General features: G+C 41.1%; 1 protein-coding gene across 4 annotated transcripts in view; it reads right to left on the bottom strand.

The window, feature by feature from the left end:
- NELL1 (neural EGFL like 1) overlaps positions 1–24069 on the bottom strand; it is a 906136-nt gene that overhangs the window by 618250 nt on the left and 263817 nt on the right. For all 4 annotated transcript variants that reach the window (NM_001288713.1, NM_201551.2, NM_001288714.1 and 1 more), the window contains 2 exons: positions 19578–19651; positions 10002–10101 (listed from right to left, as the gene is read on the bottom strand). In NM_001288713.1, coding sequence (NP_001275642.1) covers positions 10002–10101; positions 19578–19651 — 174 coding nt within the window. The remainder of the gene's footprint in view (positions 1–10001; positions 10102–19577; positions 19652–24069) is intronic.

Here is a 24069-nt window from a genome sequence, read left to right as displayed (position 1 = left end):
TTTCTTCAGAGAGGATTTGTGTTTCCTTCTGTCAGGGGTCTGAGGGAACTATCAACCCAAGATGACTTTCAACTACATTTTTGTCTTAGTGCTTGAAGGTTGAGCCACACAGGTGGAATAAAGTCTAGCCCTAAGCTTTTAGGAATGCAAGATTTTCTCCTCTAGACCTCCATCTAGAGTCAAGACTGACAGGCAAGTCTCTTTGGGCAGAGTGGATTTTTCCTAGTTCACCCATGGAGGGATTCACCCTTTAAGGTTCTTGATTTATGTTTCTCATACTAGCCCCAGGATGTCTCCTGTCTGCTTACACAGTGTCCACTAGAAGCCATATTTTAAACCACCAGAGACTCGAAATTGCACTCAGGGCAAACGTCAACTCCACTGTACTTGCTTATTTCAATGGAATCACCCTCTTTCTATATTCTGGTCTCCAGTTGTTTTTTTTCTCCCCCTTACTGCCATCTCCACCAAATGTTCCAGAAAGTTGTTTCTATATTAGGCAGCATTTTAGATGAACTAGAAGGAATAGGTAACATCTACCATAAAATTTGAGAAGTTCAAATATGATAAAGTATATAAAGATGCTTTATCATCTTTAAATCAGTACTTTTAGTAAACAATAATTATGCTATATCACATACTGTGTTCTCACAGAAAACAATGGATCTAGAAGTCAGGAGATCGAATTTATAATTTAGGATCTGCAGCTAACAAACAGTATAAATCACTTTGCTTTTCTAGGTATGCATATGGCGAACGGATGAGATTAGTAATTTTTTTTTTTTTTTTTTGAGATGGAGTCTCGCTCTGTTGCCCAGGCTGGAGTGCAGTGGCGTGATCTCAGCTCACTGCAAGCTCTGCCTCCCGGGTTCATGCCATTCTCCTGCCTCAGCTTCCCAAGTAGCCGGGACTACGGGCGCCCGCCACCATGCCCGGCTAATTTTTTGTATTTTTAGTAGAGACGGGGTTTCACCGTGATAGCCAGGACAGTCTCAATCTCCTGACCTCGTGATCTACCCGCCTCGGCCTCCCAAAGTGCTGGGATTAGAGGCGTGAGCCACCGCACCCAGCCTGAAATTAGTAATTTTTAAACTGTGTTCCTCAGGGCCCTAGGCACAGATGAGTTGTTATACAGGGTTCAAGTCCTCTGCCTCTGATTCAAATAGAATAATCTTTTATATTTTTGACATATTGACCATGGTTGTTTTGTTTTGTTTTGAGACGAAGTCTCACTCTGTCACCCAAGCTGGAGTGCAGTGGCGTGATCTCAGCTCACTGCAAACCCCACCTCCCGGGTTCAAGCGATTCTCCTGCCTCAGCCTCCAGAGTAGCTGGGACTACAGGCGTGTACCACCATGCCGGGCTAATTTTTGTATTTTTAGTAGAGATGGGGTTTCACTATGTTGGCCAGGCTGGTCTCTAACTCCTGACCTCATGATCCAGCCACCTCAGCCTCCCAAAGTGCTGGGATTATAAGCATGAGCCATCGTGCCTGGCCCATACTGATCATGTTAATTACAGTTCCTGGCTTAAAAATATGGAAATCACTCCACTAGATAAAGTCAAGTTAATTCCTTTCAGTGATAACATTCTAGAATTATTTTTGAAATAAAATTTTAAACCAACAATATTTGGAGAATTTATTCTGAAAGATAATAATATTGTTATTAAATAATAATGATAAGTTTCATGCACTTATAATATGCCTGGCATGCTAGGTGTTTTAAATGGGAATAATAATATATACCTTTTAATATGTTGTTGAGAAACTTAAATGGGCTAATCCATGTAAGGCACTTGAAACAGTTCCTTATACCTGTTAAAGAGGTCAGTCAATGGTGGCCACTAATAATGATGATGATATTTTCAACAATCATGACTAAAGTTCAAAATAACTTAATGCTGTTATCCTCAACTTCAAGATAAAAAGTACAAATTCACAAATCTCTAGGTAGTTAGTGGAAATGCCAGGGTTCTAAATAATGTCTGGCTAACTCCAAAGCCCATGTGCTTCTCACTATGTCATATATCCTCTCAGATAGCAAAACCTGGTTATGAAAAGTGAAAGAGGTAGCCACTCCTTGGGACATTAGAGAGTAGATGCATAGGCCTAGATGAGTTACATCCAGCCTCACTACTTATGACCTGTTAACTGGTGATTGCCTCAGTCAAAAATCAGAGCAAGAGTCTAACTGGCTGGAAATCTGAAACCTCTGACAGTTGACAACACTTCTATAAGGGCTTGAGAGGCTTACAATAATCATTAAAACTAGCAGTGCTTGATGTTTTTTCCTACCAAAGGGGTACTTTTAGGCATCACGTGTCTCTCTTCCAGAGGAGGAGCCTGGACTTCACTTCCCATGTCTGAATTGATCAATAATTAGATTAAATGGTCACATTTTCCTTCATTAGGAAGCTTGACTCAACGGCACATGTGCATCCTTTATCACACGTATTCCTTGTCTGTGTTTCTTTTCTCTTTCTTTCCAGTAGACTTTAACTGTCCTTTTCTTTCCACATGCATCTGACAGCCTGGAACAAAGCCCTTCAAACAGTGTTGATTTTCCAATGCATATGTTTCTATTAAGCATGTACCATGTCAAATCATGATGCCCGGAGTTGAGTAAATTGTATTTCAAGGACAGTGAAGGGCCGGTGAGACAAACTCACCTTCAGGTCAAATCCACTTTGATTATGCCTAACCATTCTTCTCAAAAATGTGTTTTTTAAATTAATGGAGGCCTTTATTCAAGCAATATTCATTCCATGCCCACTTACCTTTCTGCACAAGTGAGTGAATAGTCATTCACTCAATATTTATGGGGCCTCTACTCTGTGGGCTGCAGCACCACATAATTATCTGGAGACACTTCAAAAATGTTTAAGATATTCTCTGCCCGCAGGGAAATTATAATCCCTAAGGGGCAATAAACCACCTATGGCCTCAATCAAGGCAATCTTTGTTAAGTCAGATGTGAGCAGGAAAAAATGTCATAGTGTTTCAGAGAAGGATAAATCATTTCAAGATAACAAAAAACTGTAATAGGTAGAAACTTGATAGGAGCAGGACACAGATCCTAGTGGGAGAAATGGAATGACAACCAAAGAGGAAGAAGAAAGAACAAGGAGTAAGTTTGGAGAACCCCAAATAATCTGCTACAGATGTAATAACAGCAATAATTAACATTTATTGAACACATACTATGTGCTAGGCACTTGGCTAAGTGTTTTACATACATTATCCCATAAAATTACATACATTATCCCATAAAATTGTTATAAGAGTTTATAACAATTATATGAAGCTGAATTATTATCCCCATTTTACAGATGTGGCAACTGAAGTTAGAGGAAGGCAGTGAACTTGTGGAAGGTACACAGAGCCATAGTCCGACTGAGGCTGGAATTCTTAATCACTGTCCTCTTCCACTGTCCTCCTAAGAACAGCAAATTTTAAGCACCTAGCACATGTGCAGGCATTATACCAGACAATAGGAATACAGCAAAAAATACCATAAACATGTCCGCATTCATCCTACATTCTAGCAGGGGTGACTGTCTTTGAGCATTGGGTTACAAGGGGATATCATGATGGAGAGGGGCAAGGTGCTCTAGGAATGTATGCAGAGAAGAAACCTAACACAATGTTTTAAAGAAGAGATTTGAAGGATGAATGAGGTTGGCTGGACAAAGAATAAGAGTTCCAAATGCTTACAGCAGCATGGGCCCGTGATATGTACAAAGAAATTAATGAAAGAAAATGTAAATGTTGGGGTCACACTTTCTCCTCTGGTTGGAAGCAGCCTAAAATTTGGATGCAGTGGTGGTCCTGTATCGAGCTCTGTTGCCATGAATGACCAGTAACACTAGTAAAATGATTTACTTTCATTAAATTCATTAGCCTAATCTGCATATAATAAGCTCTGCCTATTACACTGAGGCCCCCCCACACTGCCACTCTCCAAATCCCACTTTATGTTGTTTATAGTTATCAAGGAATCATCACTGATTCTGCTTAATCTCTTGCTTTTGCAGCCAATGATAGACATACATCGTTATGATTCACTCCCGTAACTTCTTCCACAGCAAGGAATACATGGGTCACTAATAGTTCCTCAATCTCCTGCCCCTAAAGTATACCCCAGCAGGTCAGGCAGGTTACCTTTGAAATTATATACCTGGACAATCTCAAAGTGCACTCCAGAGTCCTCTATTCTAAAATCTTAGAACGTCAATACCTCTCATATTCACTACTGCTTACCCAACCTTGAAATTCACGTAAGGAGCAATGGTATAGTGAGGGCAGCATATTCCATGTGCCTCAGATGTACAGTCAGGTCCACCCATGGACTGGTTAAGAAGGATATGGCCAAAGGGTCTTTTATGAGAACTGGATGCCTTTATGTACTCCACAATCAATACACATAACACAGGAGAAGCCTGGGCTCTTGAAAGTGAGAATAATCCTTAAGCTTTTGTGGACAGAAGGTAGGGCCATCAGGACAGGCCTAATAGAGACTGAACTCCCGACTCTCACAGGTTCTAGCTTAGAAAGCAATTGGTTTCTTCCACAGTAGTCAACATTTAAGGGTCTTCCCTTAAGGTCTGAGGCAGCCTAGCCTTAGTGTCAGGTTTTCTCTCTGGGAAAATGTGCCTCCTTTTGGAAGCTTCATAGACCTTGATCCACTGTAGCACGTTTAGGACCATGAATTCATTTACTCACTAAGACTATCCTCTGTTCCCAGCCCCAACAGTTGAGCATATAGCCCTGTCTTTCCAGTCCACTTTAGCCCACAGTTGATGGCATTTTGATCAGATCTCATCTATCAATATGCAGAGGAACTGGTCCATCTGTGAACTGCCAGTTCCTCTATTTAGGCACTAGTTTACACTCTCATTAAGTGCCTTTTTCTCAGGTCTCTTTTCTTCTCAAATTCCCTGAAATCCTTTCTCTAAAACCATTTCAATTATAAATTCACCCAAAACAATGAGGAAGACTGGGTGGGAGGAAAATCATTTGATGCCAAGACTCTTAGGGAGGGTTTAATTGAAGGACATAAAATCTTTAACAGTACAAATAATCTCAACTAATTTCCGTCCAGGCCAGATGACAAGGCAAGTGAGCCTGAATTAAAATTACAGATAAACGCATTTGGAACAGATGTCGGAAAGAACTTTTTCCCAACACTAGAAGTCATAAACATGCAGCAAAATCCTCCAACGTCATTGGCAACATTAAAGATACAATTAGAGCTGATTACCAGGGGAATAAAACCCTGAGGAGTATGTCAAGAATTCCGGGATGGGTCAAATGATGGGTCTGTTTTCCTGGAGTGGTCCTGAGAATACATGGTCAATATTGTTGACATTTTTTTTTTTTCATCCTTTAACTGAGAGCACCAGAAATTCACGAGCAGTCTTTTTCTGCTGGGTCTATATTGATGCTTTTATTACTTCTTCCCAGGCAGGAGCCCAGATGTTATTCCAGTGCACACTCCCCTTCTCCACCTAATGGCCTCACACTTCAAGTGGTCAGGCTCCTGCTACATCCATTACCTCAAGGTAAAGAGGAGGGTAAATGAATTTCATGTTGCCAGCACAAACTGTCCTGAGGTATCAGAGAAAAGCTGCAGTGGTGATTAAGGATGTTCTGGGTGGTGCTGTTGTGTGACTGAGACCATGAGTCCCACAAACTACAAAGTGGCCTCTCCCCGCCAGTATCCATCACCTTGATTCCCTTTGCGTGTTTCTTCCCTACCAATTCTATAGTTCTTCTCCTATGGGTGTCCCAGCTGCTCCAACAGCCCTGTGGATTAAACCCCCTGTTTACTTGGTTATATTCATTTTTCCCTAAAAGACAAGGGAATTAGTTACAGCATTTGACATGACACAAAATTTGAAGAGGCAAGGTATCTGAGCCCCTAGCTTGGAGACCAGTTTGTTGATACAGTGAACACCATAAGTCAGTCAGAACCTGTTCTTACTAACTTTAAAGTCTTAGGTTTAATTCAAACAAAGAAAAAAAATCAAATGTAAAGATGTAGCCTGTATCTTCCATCTTGATTAGTCAATAATTGTGGGGTGGGGGACAGTAACCATATGAGAAAATTTGGTAAGACTAAGTTAAAAAAAAATTAACTTCATAATCAAGCTAGCAAGCTATAACTTGAGGAAATAAGTTATAACTCAGAAAAATGGGTTTTAACCTTATTTCATATGTAAAATATATAAAGCCTATCAGCTAGTGCTGAAAATAATGTCATTCATTCATTAACATGACAATGACAGTGAGCAAAATCCACTCTCTGGAAGTTTTCTCAAATTCCCAGTCTAGGCCTCCCCAGGTAAGGTGACTCATCAGAGTCCTAAAGAAAATAAACCTTGGAAAACTTCAAATTCTCCAGGCAGGCATGAGAAAGGTTTTGACTTAGACTTCTGAGGAATGATACCGTCATAGGGTAATTTCTCTCAGACTAATGACCGGATGGTCACAGTAAGAGAGAGATGATAAATATGCTAATTGAAAGGCCTTCGGTGCAGGTGTTGAAAGGCCACAGCCACTTTGGTTTTTGTAATCAACAACATCAGGGTGGCAGAAGCAGTACAGCTATAGCATACCACAGTGCTCATTTCCTAAAATACACACTTCAGCTCATCTCAGTCCCACCTCTCTGCTTCCTTGCTGCCAACCAGTCTGTGGACAATCAGTCCACAAAGCAAACGATGCTGCTGCCTTTCCATATGCAGGATACAAATTACTTTACATAGAAATTGAGTGTTTCTCGACTTTTCATTACTTTCTGTTTCAGAGAAGGGGAGAAGGGGAGGAGGCAAGAAGAACCAAATAATTTGCTTTAGAAGTCCACTGGGCTTTTCAGGTCTTGTCAGAATAGTAATTGTCCAACCCCCTTCTCCTGTGAGTCCACTCAGAAATGCAGAGGAAAAGGCAAAAATAAGAAGAAAAGTATTTCTCACAAAATTGTGAGAGATGATTATGTTACTTTTAAAGACGGAATTAAGAGATGTGGAGCAAAATTCATGGGGGGCTTAGTTCAAGATGACAGACTTTTGAACTCATCTGTATTGCTCTTTGTTAATTGTCATTTAAATTGCAGGGTTTCATGAAAAAGAGACATCTCACTAAATATGCCTTTCATTTCCTGATTGCCTGATGGGAAGAGCAGGCCCTAGCATGTGGACAAGTGGGCTGGATGTTCTGGGATTCTCTCTGCTGTGGGTCAGCAAGAAGGAAGAAGGTTATGATAGTAGATGTTTCTGAAAAGGGCCTCAGTGAACAATGCTGCCTCCTTTACTTCAGAGTCTGACTCTGAGATGGGAGTAATATAGAAGAAATCCAAATGGTTAATTCACCTACCTCCCGGGAAAACACCCTCCCACCACCTCTTTTCTGAAGACATGCTCTAGTTCCTGTCCAAATGTAGAGCAGTCAAAGAGCATAAAATAACTTTCTCACACACACATACCTCCAAAGAAAACTATTAGCTTCCAAGTAAAAGAGCTGGCTGTTTCCTGGCTGAGAAGGAACTGGTATGAAAAAGAAAGCCCTTGATTTCATAGACGGGCCCTGCCTAAGATCAAATCTATGAAGTCTTCCTCCTGCCTCCCACTCTTCCCTCAAAGTTGAGTCAGGTTTGGTAAATGCCACTGCTTGCTAGCAACGGGAACCTTGTATGTCTGCTTCTTGTCAATGAGATGTCACATCTCTCAGCATCTTCATTGGTAATGGACACATTCCAGACAAGTGCTAACAGAAGCAGTGGCACCTGTTCTATTGTAAATTGGGTCAGGGCAATGAAATCCCTCCTGAATTTCTGTGGCCTAATTAATGATTCTGCTCTAATGAAACCATAAATCAGAAAGGATTTACATAAACTGAGTCTCACTTGGCACCCCAACAAATAGCAAGTGATGAATTTTGCATTAAATTATAAGACCTACCTAACCATTCTATCTAACCAATAAATGCATCACTCTGAAAATTCCACTCAATCTTTAGGTATTTCCAAAACATACCAGCTGCAGATAATATAGCCATGAAAGCAGATAAATCAAGGAAGATATTCTGATGTCATAGTTAGCCTATCACTAATTCTAGGGGCCATTTCTGGCTATCAACACACTAAATTTTCCTAAGAATTTTACCAAAGCCCAGAGCTCTCATGACCAAACACAGAAAGCCTAAGCTGAAAACATGCAATGGTGAAACATACAACATTTTCATACACCAGAAGGTGCTAAGGGAGGGGTCAACAGTTACAGGCTGCCACCTGTTTTTGTAAATAAAGTTTCATTGGAACATGGTCACACCCATTTATATACCTATGATCTATGTTGCTTTCTTGCTAACTTTCTTCTGTTAGTTGTAACAGAAACCTCTTGTCGGCAAAGTCAAAAATATTTATTTTGTAACCCTTTATAAAGAATTTTTGCCACCCCTCTGCTACAGAAAAGATAGGAAAAAAAAAGCAAAATATGAGGTTACCTGAGCTAAATTGCTATGCTGCAGGGACCTCCTTAACTCTGGAAGCTTCAAAGCTCAGATTAAAAGGATATCACTTACTGGGTATTTGAGAATCTGAAGTATTTATGGTAGATATAGTTTTAAAATAATACCTATGAGTTTAACTGTTTTTTTTTTTTTTTTTTTTTTAAGATTTTGAACAAATCCTAGGATCTCCTAATTCATCTAATTCTGCTTGGGTGAGAAGCTGCAGAGAGGAAGTGATACTTGAGCTGGGTTTTAAGACATAGGAATCAATTTAAGAGGCCGTGAAGGGAAAGGGGGAGGGAATATGAAGAGAATTTGGTTAATGGGTACAAAAATACAGTTAGATAAAAGGAATTTATTGGATAGTACAGTAAGGTAATTATACTTAACAATAAACTATTGTCTTTTTCAAAATAGATAGAAGAATTGTAATGTTCCCAACACAAAGATCAATTTTGAGGTGATGGATATCTCAATTACCCTGATTTGATTACACATTGTATACATGTATCAAAAGATCACATGTACACCCAAAATATGCACAACTATTATATAACAATTGAAAAATAAAAATAGGCTGGGCATGGTGGCTCATGCCTGTACTCCCAACACCTTGGGAGGCCAAGACAGGAGAATTGCTTGAGGCCAAGAGTTCAAGGACAACCTGGGCAACATAGCAAGACCCAGTCTCTAAAAAAAAAATAAATAAATAAAAATTAGTTGGGTGTGATGGTGTATGCCTGTGAAGTCCCAGCTACTTGGGAGGCTTAGGCAGGAGGATTGCTTGGGCCCAGGAGTTCAAGGTTACAGTGAGCTATGATCGTACCACTGCTCTCCAGCCTGAGTGACAGAGCGAGACTCTAACTCTAAACTAATAATAATAATAAATAAAAATTTAAATAAAGAATAAATTTTGGGATGAAGGCAATTCCAGGAAGATGAAGCAAAACCATTTCTGCCCAATAATTAATTAGCAACCAAGTGTTATTTATCTGATGCATTTTTCCTTGCAGGGAGTAAAAATGTTGCATAACAATCTAACCTATGAGTAAGGATTCACCATACATCATTCTCTACCAGAGTATGGGAACTGGCCCAACAAGACGGAGCTGAAAAGAATGCTTCCCAATCTCACTCATGAGAAAAATGTAATAATGATGATAATGGTTATTATTATAAGAACTAACATTAGCATTATTATAGGAACTATCATTTATTGAACATTTGTCACATGCTAGGCATGATGGTAGGTGCTTATGCATTATCCCATTTAATCTTCACAGCAGTCTTACAAAGTAGATACTATTATTATCCTCATTTTATAATTGAGGAGACTATGACTGAGAGAGGTAAATAGGATATGCAACTTTTTAAGGAGCAGCGCACAGAGTTTTGGACCCATGTTATTATCATACTATTCATTAAAATCTCATGCCCCAGAAGACCAGCCCCAGCCTCACCCCACGCATGGCCCACCACCAAGCCCACTTACCTCTACAGACACGGCAGCACTGATTCTCAGGAAGAATGTGATCCTTTTCTGAGCAGTTCAAAGGAGGACACATTTCTGTAATTTTTACTAAAACTCCACCCTGGAAGCCAAATATTAGGGAAAGAAAAAGATGTTCACATTTTTAGTCAATGGAACAAACTTATAATGTTCTTTGTTAATAGCCTGCAGTGATAACAACATACAATAATTAATACTCCCAGGGATTCCACTAAAAACGATAATGCCACAAATTAAATTAATGAGACCCCTGGAATATAAGGTAAATTTCCCTTTCTATATCCTAAAAGCCTCAAATTCAACAGTTTTGAAGTATCTTCTATGGAGCAGAAGGATTCTAACAGCAATGCACTGATAAAAGTCTAACAATCGACTCTTGGTCCGGTGGGGCCTAATTTATAACATTTCCTAATTTCTATGATGTAAATACTCCAGTGATGGCTGATTTTGAGCTACTAACATGGTATCACTGAAAGCAATGTTCAGAAGTTATGTATAATTGAGCTTATGTGAGCTCTGGCATGCCCCTGGATAACAGGCTTTGTGAACCCAGTGATAGACAGCAAATCTTCCTTGCTCTTAATGAATTCTCAGTTTGGATGGAGGGAGGAATAAAGCCTCATAAACTAGAAACCACAAAACATACAGCACAGCATAAGCCTAAAAATGGGCTCTAATAAAAGTATTATAATGTGTCATAGAATAATAATTAACTCTGCTCAGGTGGGGAGAAATTATGAAGACACCAGCTTTGAGGGAACTTGATTAGTGGAATAAAGGAAGAAGGGACTTTCCTGGCAAAGAGCTGAAAAGAGCCAAGGCATGTAGGCAGGAATGAACTGAAAGAGGATCAGTTAGCTGAGCATTAGATTTTCCCTAGATATAAAATCACTTACAATAACGTGTGTAATATTCAGAAGGTGAATCTTTATGACCTTACTTCATCCAAGGTCTTTTTGGTTGACATTACTAGCATCTGTATTTAGTATGATGCCAATTTGTAAAAATTATTCCATTAATTACTATTTTTTTAAAAATGCTGAGAGTTCCTTATTTTATCTAAAACATTTACTTTTTCTCTCCCATTTTTAAGGGGATGCTTAAGTCAACCAGGAAGCAAGCTCAAGAAGAGGCATCTCATTTAAGGCCAAAAGGTAGTTCCCAACACAGGTGGAAGAATAGGATGAAGGTGTATAGTCAAGAAGGGTGCAGGAGAGACTGAGTTTTCCGTCTTCATGAGACCGTCATCCCAGTGGTTCCACATTTCTCTGGTTTGGCAAGAACTCCCACTATATCAGGAATACCCATTCTTAAATTGGAACAGTAACATAATTGTATATGTCAAATATAAATTTCCAACTGCTCATCTTTTGGATTATTTGCACCATGGCTTCCTCTCCTTTCTCAGAATTTCCAGTCCAGACAGGCCAGCCTCTGGCATTCTTAGTCTTGTCTTTTCTTCTCCTTTTATCTTTATTCCCAATCTTTCCCAAGGTAACTCTTAACTTTCTCCTGACTATCTTACAATTGTCCCTAAGACCTGAGAATCGATCCTGCTACTCACTCTGCCCCACTTTGCAACTGCACTTCATTTTTAATCCTCAATCCAGACCATGATGGGTGGTATCTAACCTCAAAAATTAGCTCCAGTCCTAAGGCAAGTGTCCCTACCTGATGTGCCTTACTTTCTACAACAGGGAATCAAACCAGTTATTACCAATCAATGGAAGTTAGTAACCTTACTATCAGCAGCTAAATGTAGAGGAAATCACAATGCTGAATTACTTACCATTATTGCCTCTAAGTCTATCCTTCAATATTAATATATTTATTCATGATCTGCTGCCTCCTGGCATAAATAAGAGTGGCTGACACTGTTGAATCCTTTTGTCAGCTCTATGTGCGCACCTCTAGGTTTATCAATGCTTTGCTGCAACTGGCTCACCTCTGTCACTCTCAGAGCACTGCCCTTGGGCAATGGAGCCATTTTGCCCATGCAGAGAGCCGGAAGTTACATGCAAGTTCTACAACTCCCATGCGTATGACCCAAAGCCAGTGAATGAATGGTATGGGATATTCTTTACCTCGAAGAGAGACAATCTCTAGGGTAAAATGTATGCTCCAGAGCCCATGGTGGGATTACGGTATGTTTGACCTTTCATCTAAAATTGTACCTCTTCTCAGTTTCTTCCCCTTCTCCATCTGGCATCCCCCACACCCTCACTGGTTTCTCCTGGGGGCACTACCTTAATAAATCACTTGTACTGAAATCCTTAGCTCAGGGTTCGCTTCTGGGAGAACCCAAACTAAGACAATTAAAATAAATTTCACTCTTGCTGTCAAAAATCAAACTGTTAAAAGATTATCTCTAGGTGGTGAGATTCGGGAGTGATTCCCATTTTCTTCCTTACATTTTCCCCTCTATATTCCAAATTGTATAAGTATATATTTTTGTAAAAACAAAATATTAAAAATGCTACAGAAGATTTTTTAAAAATAATCATTCACAAATCTTCTATTTTTATAAAAAGGGTTTGCTTCGCTGATTAAATCAGTCACCAGTTCTAATCAACCTTTAACATATTTAATGAGTAAGATCATAATCCCAAATATTTAAATGGAGACAAACCTTTTTGCATGAATTTGAAAAATAATATGAACTGTGATTACCATTGCATAAGTGCCACCAAATCCATTTAATCCAGCTACATAATTAGGCACAAACCTTTTATAGCTTTATTTTCAAACCTATCTCTAGTAAGAAGTACCTGATAATTAACATTTTAAGTCTTTCTGATTATAGTATGTTATTTTATGACCCCTGGAGTTCTGCGCTGGTGGAAAAATACAATTCCTTTTTTCTTTCTCATTTAGAGTGGCTTTCTCCATGTCATTGGTCAAATACATACACTTTCAAGTTCTGTACTAACCATTGTGCACTAACCTGAATTTCTAACAACATATAAAACTTACAACTTCAAGTAAAAAATTGTTGCTAGGATAAAGAAATTCTGCAGAAAAGCAATAATTGGGCAAAATTAATAAGACTGCTAGGAGAGTTTATTCATGTTGATTTTTTTTTAAAAATTATGTTAATTCCTGGAAACACTTGGTGAAAATATTTGAAACAAGAGTTTGTTTTTTGACTAATTGGTGTTGCTGAAGCTTTAAAATGATCCCAGGAAAATGAAAATGGGTGGATCTCCAGGCATCCTTTTGTCAACTGAATGACAGAATATCAAAAATTATTTTAGCAATTATTTCCTTAGTCCTCCCAAGGATAATACTTCATAATACCATTTTAGATGCCTAAGAGGAAGTTTAATTTATTGCATACAACAGATTCCATAGGGCATTAGTGCTTACATCTTGAGAAAAGCTGCCTGGGAGAAATAAGAGGCCCTTTGATCCTATACCCATTACCCTCACTCTCTGCTGACAATATCCATTAACTATGTCCCAAAGCTCTTCCATGGCCTTTTATAAATGCTACCTTTATCAAGGGAATCAATGGGCCATAGCCTGACCAATCTGATATTCTCAGATAGACTGAAAAATGATCAAACAATCCTTCTCAATCTACCCCTCTAAAATTCAGAATTGAGAATTATTTCCAAGTCAGTCTAACAATAACAGGAGTGGCAGTAGACAGGCTAAGAGAGGAGACTGTGGGGCCAAACCACACAGGTTCTGATCCCAGCTGGCTCACTCACTACCTATGTGGCCTTGTTCTTCTGTGCCTCGATTTTCACATCTGGGTATTACCTTCTGCACAGAATTATTATGAGGTTTCAGTGAGATAAATATGGTTTTTTGTTTTGTTGGGTTTTTTTTTTGAAATGGGGTCTTGTACTGTCACTAGGCTGGAGTGCAGTGGCGCAATCTCAGCTCACTGCCACCTCCGCCTCCTGGGTTCAAGCGATTCCCCTGCCTCAGCCTCCCAAGTAGCTGGGATTACAGGCATGTGCCACCATGCCCGGCTAATTTTTTGTATTTTAGTAGAGACAGGGTTTTACCATGTTGGCCAAGATGGTCTCAATCTCCTGACCTCGTGATCCACCCACCTCAGCCTCCCAAAGTGCTGACCCGCATGCCCGGCCGAGATAAATATGTTTTAGATGCTTTAAATTGTGCCTGGAAGATAATAAGTGCTCAAGAAATATTAAAAATTATTGTCAATAACTCTTTCTTGTATACAAAGTAATTAGTAAATAACTATAGAAAGACAATAAATGGAAAAATAACTTTTTTGCACAGAATAAAATTATTCACATGCACTCACACATGCACACACACACTACCTGTGCAAGAGAATAATCTGTCTGCCCCAACTTCTTTCTAAATTATTAAAAAAAAAAAAAACAGTAAAAGATGAACCCAAGTGTGTAGAGCAACTGCAATGTGCCAGTAATAGTAGTAAGTGATATTTAAATAAGCTGGCATTCAAATCCATGCCCATATCTTCTAAAGGTCTCAAATGGTGTCTGCCTGGCTCCTCTTTGATAATAGACATTGAATCATAATAGTGACCCTTGCTAGAGTCACCCACAGCTTCCATTCAAAATGGAAAAGGATTTGCTAATTTTAAGTGTTATGGCTGATTCTGGGACCATCACCACAGTGAGCAAAATTGCCTTTAATCATCCCAGCTTTCCCTGAAGTCAAAGACAAAAGCAACAATTTTAGAATCCAACTGTTTTCCCTTCCTAGAAGTAAAACAATGTTCAGAGAGAATGGTATCTGTCTTAAATTCAAGAAGGACATGTATGGTCATATGGAATAACAAAAATAGCTCACATTTATTGAGGATGGTCTTTGTGGTAAGCACTCTACTAAGTTCTCCATGTGTTTTATCTCATTTAATCTACACAACATCCTTGTGTGATAATGTGCCAGCTATAGGTTATTGACCACCCCACCTGCTCCCCTACTCCCCTACTCCCCTACTCCCAACCCTGGGAGCCTCCTTGTCAGTCAAGAGATCATTAAAGCCCTTGTTGTCACACCATCCTTGCCCCTGCCACAGAGTGGAGAGCCCCTACACCCAGTACCCACTGATGCAGAGAGACCACCACACCTGCATGCCCACCAGACCACCTGGACTCATGGAATCTCTGGCATTCCCAGCAGCAGCCAAGAGGGCAAGAATGGGAATCAAAATAGGGAGGTTCAAGGAAGCTAACCTTTAGGGTACAGTCTGGCCAATGAGAGACAGAATATAGGGAATGTCTTTCCTTCCCAGCTCTCCATAAAGAACAAAATTCAAGCTCTTCTTGTATTAGTATCTCCTTGAGTGCTTCTGCAAAGTCTCTAAATGCCTCATTCTTTTCAATCTTTAAAACACATTCCTGTCTTTTTTCCAAGAGGTGTGTTGAAAAGAAAATGAAACAATGTAAGTAAGAGCACTTGCGAGGATGGTCTTTTCTGAGACACAGTGATTTCTGTCACCTTCTCAGGAGATGCCTCACAAAGCCAGCTGTGCTTTGTTGTGGGGTTCTGACTTTTCTGTGATGCACCATCTTGTACTTGCTCTCCTGCCTTTCCTTCCATACTTCCTTCTGTCTGTGCCTCACTCTTGCATTCCTAGGACTATACCCTTCCCCTTCCTCTATCCACGCCCATGACCACCAAAGAATAAATAAATAAAGCATCAACACAAATACCTAGGCCTCGCGTTCTATTTTCTAGAAATCAGGATCAGATAGGTAAGAAGTGTTGCTATTCTGACTAGTGTGTCCCAGCTAATGTTAGGCAGAAAAGGAATAGGTTTGACAGTTCGGCACAAGGCACTAGGCAAAATGTTCCACATTCCTCCAGGGCTGGTGATTATGCCTATAATTGTCTTCCGTTATGTTGCAGTGGGAATGGTGAGGAGAAAAAAAAATATCATGTAGGAGGAAGTAATAATCTCAAGTTATGTTCTCCAACCCAGCTCTTACTGGAACCCAATGGGGGAAAAGAACGCAAGGAACTCTGAACTTCACTAACAGCTAGGTAAAATTTCAGGATTTAAACCCAGATCCACCTGACTGCAGATTTTGACCTTTCAACCACAATGCTATATTGTAAGAGTAATTAGACTCACCCTCTTATCCTCCAGAGGGAAGAAGTAAAGCCACTGGACAGAAGTTACAGGGGGGTAGATTTTCACCCAATTAAAGGAATTCTCTGATTCCTAATGTTTTCCAGCCATGGAAATCCACTAACCTATTAGTTTAGTAACTTCCCATTATGATATGTTGGAGGTGGGTTTTGTTTTGTTTTGTTTTACTTTTTTTTGAGATGGCGTCTCACTCTGTCGCCCAGGCTGTAGTGCAGTGGCACAATCTCAGCTCACTGCAACCTCCGCCTCCCGGGTTCAAGCAATTCTCCTGCCTCTGCCTCCCGAGTAGCTGGGATTACAGGCATGCACCATCATGCCCAGCTAATTTTTGTATTTTTGGGAGAGACAGAGTTTCACCATGTTGTCCAGACTGGTCTTGAACTCCTGACCTCAGATGATCTGCCCACCTCAGCCTCTCAAAAGTGCTGGGATTACAGGCATAAGCCACCACGCCTGGCTGGAGGTGGGTATTTTTAAGTAGAAAATTATATCACAAAGTCTTATTATGACAGCTGGTCTCCAAAGATGCCTGTCTACCTAATGAATCATGCCTCCTGGTATTCATGCCCTTGTATTGTCTGCCTCTACAATAAATCTGGCCTGGGCCTCTATAGCCTTTAGAATGCAGAATGATGTTCCCGTTTCGGAGACCAGTTTATAAGAAATACTGGCGCTTTCACCTTGGTCTTTGGAAAGCTTATTCTGGGAGAAGCTGGCCAGCATGTGAGAAATCCCTGAGACCACCATGGTACAAAGAAGCCCAAGGGGCCAGGTGCAGTGGCTCACACCTGTAATCCCACCACTTTGGGAGGCCGAGGCAGGTGGATCATGAGATTAGGAGTTCAAGACCAGCCTGGCCAACAACCCGTCTCTACTAAAAATACAAAAATTAGCTGGGTGTGGTGGCGCAGCTCTTAATTCCAGCTACTCAGGAGGCTAAGGCAGAAGAATTGCTTGAACCTGGGAGGCAGAGGTTGCAGTGAGCCGAGATTGTGCTACTGCACTCCAGCCTGGGAGACAGAGCGAGACCCGGTCTAAAAAAAAAAAGAAGCCCAAGGTAGCCATGTCTAGGGGTTGCAGAGAACAAGGCACACTCACACACATACAGAGAGAGAGAGAGAGGGACGGAGGGAGGGAGGAAGGGAGGGAGAGAGAGAGCGAGCACACCAGACAGAGACACAGAGAGAAGTCTCTTTCTATTCATCTTTGTTGAGGTGCTAGACAGAAAAGTAAAGAAGCCATCTTTGATAGCCAGCCATGTCAAGCCTTCATAGGATTCTAGCTGCAGCAGCCACCAGATTGCAATTGCATGTGCGAACCCAAGTGAGAATCATTAAGCTGAGCCCATTCAACCCATGCAACCATGAGAAATAATCATAAAATACAGAAATAATCCTAAAATACTAAGTTTTAGAGAGTTTGTGTAGATAGCCAAAGTACAATCAAACTCAACATGCCTAAACCTGGCCCCATTTGCTCTTCACTCCCTCCTCACCCACAAAACATGTTCCTCCTCCTGAATGTTCCTCTTCCTGCACCAGTATCTCGTCATCACCTAATGAAGAGAGCATTTATCACATTTTGGCTTCTTCTGATCCAGTCTCCCTTCCCATGAGTACCACAGTGTTCTCTTGGGGAATTTTTTCTCCATTGCATGCTGTCTTAATGGGGTGATAATTCCAGGTAACTGGCTCCTTACACAGAGGATAAAGGGGTCGAATTCTTCCCCATCCTGAACAATCAGAGCTTGGACATATGATCCAAACTTTGCTAATCATATGTCCTTTCTCCAAACTTTAAATCTTGTATAAGTGACTCCAGGACAGTAGAAATGATTGAAAGTCACTCATCACAGCAGCAATGTGCTTGCCGGGATCCCCGCTACTAGGTCATTGCTATGGTTTCTGCTTCCTAACTTCTGGGACTCTTTGGTCTCTATCTAGTATCAAGCCTGGTCTGGCCTTCTGAGGATTCTGTGAGTCCCCCAATATCATTTCAATAACATTGTCATTTTTACCTACGTTAGCCAGGGGAGGTTTTGGCTACTTGGGAAAACAGAAACTGGTATTCCCTGCAACTCTACCAGGAACCTGGACATCATCTGGGTTTCTCCTCTCCATCATATTAGCCTTCCCCAAACCCAATCACTCGAGTCCTTTCAATTCCATTTTTTAAATAGCTCTTGAATCTCTTTTCCTGTACATCTTCACTATCACTGCCTTCAATCATAACCTTAGGTCATTTCTTACAATTATTCAAATTAATCTGGTGCTCCTCCAATCACTCCTCCCATTGCAATCACAGTGACCTTTGGAAATGCACAGCTGCTCGTGACATACACACGTGCATGCACACACACACACACACACACACAGAGAGAGAGAGAGAGAGAGAGAGAGAGAGAGACAGAGAGAGAAGAGAGAGCTTCAATGAATTCTCATCTCCATTAAGATCAAGTCCAAACTAGGTCCATTGTCACCTGTTCTGTCTAACTGTCCAGGTTCATCTCTCATCACTCTCCCACATGAGCTCTAGAACTTCACCCAAGTCAAATTATTTGCAGGTCCCTAAGTAAAACCTGCTCCCTTTATTGCTTTAGGCATTTATAAGTGCAATTCCTTCTGTTTGGAACGTGCCTTCTCCCTCATCTACCTAGGAAGCAATTATTGGTTAAGTAATCACTCACCCAAATACCTGCATGGCTGGCTCCCACACCTTACCCAAAATGTAATTTTGGAACAAAATTACATCTCAGAGAGATCTTCTCAGTCCACCCATCCCCAACTCAGACCTCTCTATTCCTTCAGCCTACTTCATACTTTTATAGAATTTGGCATTATATTATACGTTTGTTTAATTCTTACTGTCTCTCTCCCTCACTAGACTGCAAGTTCTATAAAGACAGTGACTTTGTTTTGTTCACTGTTGTATATCCAGAACCTACTATAATGCTGTCATACAGCATTTGCTTAATGCATTTTTGTCGAATGATTATTGAATGAGATCTATGATCTTATACATCTTATTTCAAGTAATGCATGGGAGGGGCAGGCAGGAGGAAGAGGCATTTTTAACAGTATATCAGCCCTCTGGGAGTAGAGTTAGTATTATCATAACTAGCATTACAGACTGATTCCCCTAATACCAACTCAAAACCCTTTCGCAGGGCCACCCACCAGCCTCCCTAACTAATAACAGCTGTTAGTTCTTTCTCCTCTCACATCCTTGCCTTAATAGCTTCTTCCAAGGCTACCTGATCCACAGCTGACCACAAGCTAACCACATAAATGGCCTGGCTGGATCCTCGCCATCATGTAATCCAACCCACCGCAGAGAGTTCCACCCCTCGGGGCCCTATCCAGGCCAATATGCCCCACTCAAGAACCTCATCTAAAGCCCACACATCTATCTATTCATTTTCCAGAAGTGATAGGGACCATAAAATTAACACTTACTCGGCATTCCCGACAGCTCTTGGTTAAAATCCGCTGGCCTTCTGCAAGAACTTTTCCTCCATAGATACATTTTGCTGTAATAAAACATAAAAATGGGTCAGACAGTCCTGCTGTGCCACAAAATGACCTCAGAGGTACCTTCTAACTCCAATAGATTCCACAGAAACCTAGATTCTCTGCTTCTGAGCAATACAAATCTCTTTGTCTAAAGTGAAAGGAATTGTGTGGAGGATAACCCTTAAATCTCCCAGGCAGACCTCATCATGATTGTGTTTGCCTGGCCTTTACAGCCAGGATATACAATTATTTCAATGTTACAGTTGCCAAAGGAACTAGAGAATGAACTGATGTAGTAAGAAGCTAAAACAAGAAAGAACTGGTGGCAATCGCTGTGGAGTACAGTTAGCAGTAGCTTTGATTCAGACACTCCAGCTAAAATGAACTGGGTGAAAGGGGACTCACATATATTCCATTCCTCAGAACCTCAGCCACAATGGAGAAGGACACCATTTCTTCTTCCTTGTGATCATGGGAGTGGGCGTGAGAAATACACATGTGAGACAAGTGAGAAATACAAGGAAAGCCTGTAAAGTGCTAGATCAATGCACTAGAGAGAATGCCTTTGGAAAGGTGAGTTCAAAAGGCTGCCAGGAAGGGCAGCGGGGGTGAACTTGTAGAAAATTTCAAAGAGAAACATAAACGGAGCTCCTACCACTCAATTTAGATTGCACTGAAACTCATTTCTTGACTTAACTGGCTGACTCACTTTTAAGCAAGTACAGCATATGTCAATTTGATATGATCCTAATATAACACCACCAAATTCTCCATCCACTTCAACAGGAAAAAAAGAAGCAAGTATCTGGTCACTCCCTCTCCTGCCCTGATGAGGACCCTTCTAGCCCCAGCTCTAGGAGGAACAGAAGCAATAATACGCACTCTAAGAGATCTCACCCACTAATTCGGTGTTGGTCTTATAGAACCACCTCACCTTTCAGAGCCTCTATATCTGTATCTGCTAAAAATGGGCTGATTAAATCTGGTGGTTTACTAGTTATAAAACCCTCTGATTCTCACGGGATGCTCAGTTATTCTTCATTCAAATAATATTCTAGTGTTACTAAAGGGCAGGCAACATGCTAACTGGTAATATAGTGTTGCAAGAACCAAAGCTTTCTTCTCATGGAGCTTACAATCAGGGAAATAGACAGTAATTACATAATAACATCAGTGAATGTATAATTACTAAGTGAGGCAAGTGCTGTGTTTGCAGATAAAGAACCTAGACCCCCTTCGATGTTGAGGGGCAAGATCTGAAAGGCAAAGAGGATGACCAGGTGAGAAATGGGGCTTTCATTCCTCCCTTCCAATAAAACAAACAGTAGTCATCTAGTCCATTTTAGCCACAGGAAGAAGAAAGTCCAGGGACATGCCTAAGTTAACGTCATACCCTGTAGTGGATGCTGTGGTACATGGAGATCCACTTCCATGAGCAAAGGATACATTCTTACAACTGCTGTGACAGTTGGCAACTAACGGCTCTCCCCTGAATGGAGATCTAAGACTTGTATAGGGCTGTAGAGAGCCACCTTGCCCAAGGTGAAGTTCTCTTGATGGGTGAACATGGTACACAGTCCTGGCCCCCTTTCTCCAACTGAGGACAACTCCGAAGGGCCATTCCAGCTCCAAAGCTCCCTGTAGGAATGAGTTCGGCATTTGCTGTAACCACTGCAGCTTAACTTCTCCTTCTGCCCAATTCTTCTTCCTTCACCACCTCATTCCTATCCCAGAATTGATCCTGAGAGCACTTCCTAATAAAGTACATGTAAATCTCTATGTCAAAGTCTGTTTCCCCTCAGAACCTGACCTGCAGCAACCTCACTCCCCACCCAAATATGTTCCACTCCTGTATTCTCCTCTCAGTGAATGGCAATGGCATGGGTATCCATCCCAGCTCCCACACCCTAGTGCCTGGCAACCTTCTAACCTCTCCCTCTTACACAACTCCATGTCCAATCAGTGTCCAAATCCTATCAATGTCCCCTTCTTAAGTTTCTCAAGTCAACCTCCTCCTCTCCATTCCTCACCCTCTGCCCCCAGACACTGTCTTTGTTCAGGCTGTCGTCATCCCTCTTCTTCAGTACCACCACAACTTCCTAGCTCTCTCATGTTCTAGTCTCAATCTTCACCAGTCCTTCCCCATAAAACAGTCAGACACATATTTTTTAAGTGCAAACATGAGGCCCTGCTTGAAATCAGGGTCCCTAAAGCTCTCAGAATAAAGTCCAAAATCCTTAGTTCAGCAAACAAGGCCATTCATGAGGCTTCTTATCTCCCAAGGTTCACAGCCCACCATTTCCCGTGATTTCATTCACCCTACAAAACATCCACACCTCCACATATGTTCTAGCCATGCTTTATCTCTCACTTCCGGGCCTTACATATACCGTTCTCTTTCTCAGAAACACGTGCAGAGCACCCCATCCACCTTCCACTGGCAGCCTCCCACCCTATACACCCATGAGCTTCCGCTTAGGGCTGACTTCCCTCAGAACTTGTTCTTACCCTTTAACACTGGTTAATCGTCCTCACTTTTTTATTCTATTGTACTTTGAACCTAATCCCAACAGAATATATATCACATGACATCCTAATTTCCCATTTAATTGTACACCCCACCATGTCCCTGCTGCTAATTGCAACCCCCATGAGGGTAGGGAAAATGTCTATAATTTTATCTCCAGCCCAAAGCCCCATGCCTTAGGATTTATTGAGAGTAATAATAATTTTCCAATTAATGAGCCTCTAGTAGGTGGCAAAAAACAGTCAAATTTCTTGATCCACAGATAAGAGTTATTTCTGGCATTCAATACAACTTCAAACATTAGAAGTAGAGACCAAAAAAATGGAGAATTAATATAATTGTCTGGATAGGTCCTTTCCTCCCTTCAGTAAACAAAAATCTATCCCTGATCATCTTTTATGCCTCAATTTTGTAGATAAATCAGTTGACCATGACTCGTTGGTCCTAATGAGAGCTAGATTTCCCAGTGTACTTGCATGGAGAGACCACACCTCCAAGGTCTGGAATTCCTGTCTAATAAATTCCCACACTCCCAAATGTGCCTGCTGCCAACTTGGCAAGGCAGCTTGTTCCAAAGTGACAGTTCTGCTAAGTGCACTGTTGTCAAATCTGCCATCTGCTTCTTGGCCCAAGCTGTGAAGCGAAGAAATAGACATTTTTTCTTCCTTTGCCCCTTGCCACTCCCACAATGGTATTAACACATTTGATCACCTGCCTTAAGGCACTTGTCCAAATCCTCTCTTCCCCTTTGACAGGCTCATCCCAAAACTCCTAATCTGGAGATAAAAATGCCTCATTGTTTACATTCACACCACACATGGAGACACATCCACCCCTCGAATCCACCAGTCTCTTATAAAAATTAAATGTCCACTGAACTTTATGTACTCACATAGCAGGGTGCTTTGGTGCTGGTGAATGAGATCAACATATTACTGCACGCCTCAACCATCTGCAATTTGGCACTAGTGCAGAATGTATGTATCTATGAAATTATCTTAGGATGACTTTCAGGATCACCACTGGAGGTCACAAGAATTTCTCCTGCTTTCTCATACTCATCCTCACTTCTCTGACAACAGCCCTCCTTCCCTGCCACTGCATTCCTATGCCTAATATCAGCCCTTATTATCCAACCTCTTGATCTATAGCCAAAAGGCTTATTTTTTATGTCTGAGGAAATTCAAGCATAAGGTGAGTCAGGCTCTGGTGCGTTTGGCTGGGGCATTTGGGACTCCATTCGAACATCTTTCAGGGTGATTAGAAATGTAAATGGATACCTAAAGCTCTTCATATCACACTGGTGACATGCAAACTAGAATATTTCACAGTGCCCAAACACAAAATTGAAACCTAGCACCAACACACACTTCTCCATTATGTCAGAAACAAAATGTACTGAGGATATAAAGAGTTATGCAGCTGTATCTTTTTGCACCGACAGACACCTGGCCCTTCAATTTTGACCTTGATTTTTCTGGTGCAATGATTGGACAATTTTGCCATTTGGGTGCACACTGAATAAACAATTGACAAGTACAGCTTGACATCCCTGTCAGATGTGGATACAAGGTTTCCCTATCTTTATTTAGGTATTTGTACCCTGCACACACTCCAGCCATCCCTTGGTACTCAGCGGCCTAGAATGTCAAAATCAGCACACTGTTTTACACTTTAAAGGAGAGTGGCAGATCAGAGAGACTGAACACCCAAAGATCCTTCCTCCCTCAGTGAGCTAATTCACAGCCTTGGCTTCAGATACCACCTCTATGAGCAAGACACCCACATCAAACTAGTTGTACCTCAGGCATCTCTAACTCAAACATGTCAAACGGAATGTATTGCTCCCCATACTGCTTTCTCCACCTGTCTTATTTCTGTTAATCACACCGTGAGTCTCCCACAGGC

This window comes from Homo sapiens, chromosome 11 (genome assembly GCF_000001405.40).
Source record: "Homo sapiens chromosome 11, GRCh38.p14 Primary Assembly".
NCBI classification, from domain to species: domain Eukaryota; kingdom Metazoa; phylum Chordata; class Mammalia; order Primates; family Hominidae; genus Homo; species Homo sapiens.
The sequence above is the reverse complement of the archived record's forward strand: the minus strand, read 5'-3'. Positions and strand labels throughout refer to the sequence as shown.